The sequence below is a fragment of the Homo sapiens genome, chromosome 12 (genome assembly GCF_000001405.40).
Source record: "Homo sapiens chromosome 12, GRCh38.p14 Primary Assembly".
Lineage (NCBI taxonomy): Eukaryota > Metazoa > Chordata > Mammalia > Primates > Hominidae > Homo > Homo sapiens.
In genome coordinates, this window is record NC_000012.12 from 121,643,317 (window position 1) to 121,648,741 (window position 5,425).

Genomic DNA, 5,425 nt, shown 5'->3' on the forward strand with positions numbered 1-5,425 from the left:
CAAAGTTTTACCTTGTTGCCCAGGCTCCAGTGCAGCGGCACAATCTCAGCTTACTACAGCCTTTGCCTCCCAGGTTCAAGTGATTCTCCTGCCTCAGCCTCTTGAGTAGCTAGGATTACAGGCATGCACCACCATGCCCAGCTGATTTTTGTGTTTTTAGTAGAGACGGGGTTTTACCACGTTGGCCAGGCTGGTCTCGAACTCCTGACCTCAAGCTATCCACCCGCCTGGGCCTCCCAAAGTGCTGGGATTACAGGCATGAGCCACTGCGCCCAGCCCACCTTCTGGTTTCCAGCGATTCTCCTGCCTCAGCCTCCTGAATACTTGGGATTACAGGCACCGGCTACCACACCCGGCTAATTTTTTTGTATTTTTAGTAGAGGCAGGGGTTTCGCTGTGTGGGCCAGGCTGGTCTGGAACTCGACCCCGTTATCCACCCACCTTGGCCTCCCAAAGTTCTGGGATTACAGGCGTGAGCCACTGGACCCGGCCTATTATTATATATATATATTTTGAAACAGTCTCACTCCATCCCCCAGGCTGGAGTGCAGTGGCACAATCTCTGATCACATGCAGCTTCCGCTTCCTAGGTTCAAGTGATTCTTCTGCCTCAGCCTCCCAAGTAGCTAGAATCACAGGAGCGCGCCACCACACCCAGCAAATTTTTGTATTTTTAGTAGACGGGATTTCACCATGTTGGCCGGGCTGGTCTCGAACTCCTGACCTCACGTTATCTGCCCGCCTCAGCCTCCCAAAGTGCTGGGATTACAGACATGAGCCACTGCTCCCTGCCTATTTTATTTTAGAGACAGGGTTTCCCTCTGTCACCCAGGCTGGAGTACAGTGGCATGACCATAGCTCACTGTAACCACCAACTCCTGAGCTGAAGTGATCCTCCCTGCAGTGAGCTCTGGTCACTCCACCTCCCAAGTAGCTAGGACCACAGGCACATATCACCATGCCCAGCTTTTTTTTTTTTTTTTTTTTTGAGACGGAGTTTCACTCTTGTTGTCCAGGCTGGAGTGCAATGGTGCGATCTCGGCTCACAGCAATCTCCACCTCCCGGGTTCAAGCCATTCTCCTGCCTCAGCCTCCTGAGTAGCTGGGATTACAGGCATACGCCACCACGCCTAGCTAATTTTGTATTTTTAGTAGAGATGGGGTTTCTCCATGTTGGTCAGGCTGGTCTCGAACTCCAGACCTCAGGTGATCCACCCACCTCGGCCTCCCAAAGTGCTGGGATTATAGGTGTGAGCCACCGCGCCCAGCTTTCTTTTTTTTTTTTTGAGATAGAGGTTTACTCTTGTTGCCTAGGCTAGAGTGCAATGGTGCGATCTCGGCTCACTGCAAAGCTGGCAAAGTCACAGACACTGACTGAAGACTGAGGAGGGACTGTGTCTACCTTCCCCCTGAGGCATGTGCTGTAGTTACCGGTATGGTCCTTCATGCCTAAATACTTCCTCCTAAAACTAAGGACATTTCCCTACATGACGACAATCCAGTGATCAAATCCAGGCAATTATCAGATAGAACATTCCTGTTCAGTTTCCCAAATGTCCCAGTAATGTCCCTTCTAGTGACGTTTTTTCCACTTGAGGATTGTGTGTCACAACGAGATATCACTTCCTAGTCTCCTTTATTATTTTTATTTTATTATTATTTTTTTGAGACGGAGTCTCACTCTGTCGCCCAGGCTGGAGTGCAGTGGCATGATCTTGGCTCACTGCAAACCCCGCCTCCTAGGTTCAAGCGATTCTTCTGCATCAGCTGCCCGAGTAGCTGGGATTACAGGTGCCCACCACCACGCCGGGCTAATTTTTGTATTTTTAGTAGAGAAGGTGTTTCACCATGTTGGCTAGGCTGGTCTCAAACTCCCAGTCTCAAGTGATCCCCTCGCCTTGGCCTTTCAAAGTGTTAGGATTACAGGCGTGAGCCACCGTGCCCAGCCTTAGTCTCCTTTAATTTGGAACAATTCCTCAGCCTTTTTTTTGTTTGTTTGTGTTTGAGACAGGGACTTCCCATGTCACCCAGGCTAGAGGGCAGCCTCAACCTCCTAGGCTCAAGCAATCCTTCCACCTCAGCCTCCTGAGTAGCTGGGAATACAGGCACATGCCACTACGCCTGGATAATGTTTGTATTTTTTATAGAAACAGGGCCTCTCTTGCCCAGGCTGGTCTTGAACTCCTGGCTTCAAGGGATCCTCCCACCTTGGCCTCCCGAACTGCTGAGATTGCAGCTGTGAGCCACAGCACCCAGGCTAGCCTTTGTCTTTAAAAAACTTTTTGGCTGGGCTCAGTGGCTCACGCCTGTAATCCCAGAACTTTGGGAGGCCGAGGCGGGCGGATCACGAGGTCAGGAGATCAAGACCATCCTGGCTAACAGGGTGAAACCCCGTCTCTACTAAAAAATACAAAAAGTTAGCTGGGCGTGGTGGTGGCTGCCTGTAGTCCCAGCTGCTCGGGAGGCTGAGGCAGGAGAATGGCGTGAACCCGGGAGGTGGAGCTTGCAGTGAGCCGAGATTGCACCACTGCACTCCAGCCTGGGCGACAGAGAGAGAGTCCGTCTCAAAAAAAAAAAAGAATACAAAAATTAGCTGGTCGTGGTGGTGCGTGCGTGTAATCCCAGCTACTCGGGAGACTGAGACAGGAGAATCTCTTGAACCTGGGAGCTGGAGGTTGCAGTGAGCTGAGAGCGTGCCACTGCACTCCAGCCTGCTGGACAGAGCAAGACTCCAAAAAAGAAAAATCATTATGTGCAGCTGCTATTCTACGCACTATGCATCAACTCATTTAACCCTCAGCACCCTTATATGGTGGGTACCTTTTTTTTTTTTTTTTTTTTTGAGACGGAGTCTCTCACTTTTGTCACCCAGGCTGGAGTGCAATGGCGCGATCTCGGCTCACTGCAAGCTCCACCTCCCAGGTTCCCGCCATTCTCCTCCCTCAACCTCCCGACTAGCTGAGACTACAGGCGCCCGTCACCATGCCCGGCTAATTTTTTGTATTTTTAGTAGAGACGGGGTTTCACCACGTTAGCCAGGATGGTCTCGATCTCCTGACCTCGTGATCCGCCCATCTCGGCCTCCCAAAGTGCTGGGATTACAGGCGTGAGCCACCGCGCCCGGCCAGTGGTGAGTACTATTATTATCTCCATTTTGCAGAAGGTAAAATTCATGCCCGTGGAAGTTAAGTAAATTGCCAGGATTTGAACCTGGATAGTCTGGCTCAGAGCCTAGGCCCTCACAAAGATCTTACCTGGGCTGATTCTGGCTTTGCTTTAAATGGAGGGCCGGGTGTGGTGGCTCATACCTGTAATCCCAGCACTATGGAAGGCTGAGGCAGCTGTATCACCTGAAGTCAGCAGTGTTTGAGACCAGCTTGACCAACAGGGTGAAACCCCATCTCTACTAAAAATACAAAAATTAGCCAGGCGTAGTGGAGCACACCTGTAATCCCAGCTACTTGGGAGGCTGAGGCAGGAGAATCATTTGAACCTGGGAGGCAGAGGTTGCAATGAGCTGAGATCACGGCATTGCACTCCAGCCTGGGCGACAAGAGCAAAACTCGGTCCCAAATAAATATATACATACATACATACATACATACATACACACACACACACACATACATACATTAAAGAACTGTTGGAAGCCCTAGCTGCATGGGGCCACCTTCTTACAGAGCAACAATGAGCAGCAGCTGCACTGCAGCCACACTCTCCCCAGGGCCTATTTTTTCCACAGTCCCCAGCACTCCCTCTTGTCTCACACCAGGCCGCCTTCACTCATGTGACTTTCTTGGCCTCATTAGGCCTTTGAGTTTGAGATTTCTGTCTGTCCCAAACATCTAATATAGAAAGTGGTTATGCTCACGCCTGTAATCCCAGCACTTTAGGAGGATGAGGCAGGTAGATGACTTGAACCCAGGAGTTTGAGACCAGCCTGGGCAACATGGCGAAACCCTGTCTCTACACAAAATACAAAAATTAGTTGGGCATGGTGGCACGCGCCTGTAATCCCAGCTACTTGGGAAACTGAGGCTGGAAGATCGCTTGAGTCTGGGAAGTAGAGGGTGCAGTGATCCTTGATTGTGCTACTGGACTCCAGCCTGGGCAACAGACCCTGTCTCAAAAAAGAAAAATTTAAACCAAGTTTTTAATTAGTTTTATAAAAGAATGTAGTCTGGCTGAAGTGAAATGTGGGTGGAGCATCAGCAGGCCTGATATTTCTCTTTCTCCTATCATTGTTGTCCCAGGTGCTTCACAGAACCCCAAGACTCTGGAGAAACACAATTTGGAAAGTGTGGCCTTAAGTTCTTGTCCTGTGCGGACTGGGACACAGTGAACGGCAGCTTCATAGTCTGGGTGGGGAAGGGGACCCTCCTTTTCCCTCCAGCAGCATTTGCAGTCCTGTGTCACATGCTCCAGGATCCACACTTCTTTTTTGTTTGTTTTGTTTTGTTTTGAGACAGAGTCTCATTCTGTCGCCCAGACTGGAGTACAGTGGTGAAATCTTGGCTCACTGCAACCTCCGCCTCCCGGGTTCAAACGATCCTCCTGCCTCAGCCTCCCAAGTAGCTGGGATTATAGGTGCACACTACCACGCCTGGCTAATTTTTGTATTTTTTGGTACAGATGGAGGTTTCACCATGTCGGCCAGGCTAGTCTGGAACTCCTGGCCTCATGTGATCCACCCGCTTCAGCCTCCCAAAGTGTTGGGACTACAGGCGTGAGCCACCACGCCTGGCCTAATCCACACTTTTGAAGGGTATCAAGTAGATGAGGGAGGGACCTCTATGAACCCCCACTGCTCCCCAGAGAAGTCCTGGACTTTTTTTTTTTTTTTTTTTTTTGAGACCAAGTCTCACTCTGTTGCCCAAGCTAGAGTGCAGTGGCGCGATTTCAGCTCACTGCAACCTCTGCCTCTCGGGTTCAAGGGATTCTCCTGCCTCGGCCTCCCGAGTAGCTGGGACTACAGGCATGAGCCACCACGCCCGGCTAATTTTTGTATTTTTAGCAGAGATGGGCTTTCACCACACTGGCCAGGCTGGTTTCCAACTCCTGACCTCAGGTGATCCACCTGCCTCAGCCTCCCAAAGTGCTGGGATTACAGGCGTGAGCTACCGCACCCGGCCGTCCTGGACATCTTTTACGTATTCCCCTAGGACAGCCACCTCCCTACTTCTGTAGGGATGCAAGATCCAGCTGGAATTATTTCTGGGCTAGGATCCTGTTGTCTTGGGTTCTTGTTCCTAAACTGGCCGGGACTCGACTCATCAGCCAGGCTTGTCAAATGCAGGTTTCGAAGCCCTTGGAGGATTCTGATTTAAGTAGGTCTGGGTGTGTCTTTGGAATCTATTTCTAACAAGCACCCCAGGTGCTCTCACACCCAGGCAACTTAGACAAACACTCCTAGTTAGGAGCACAG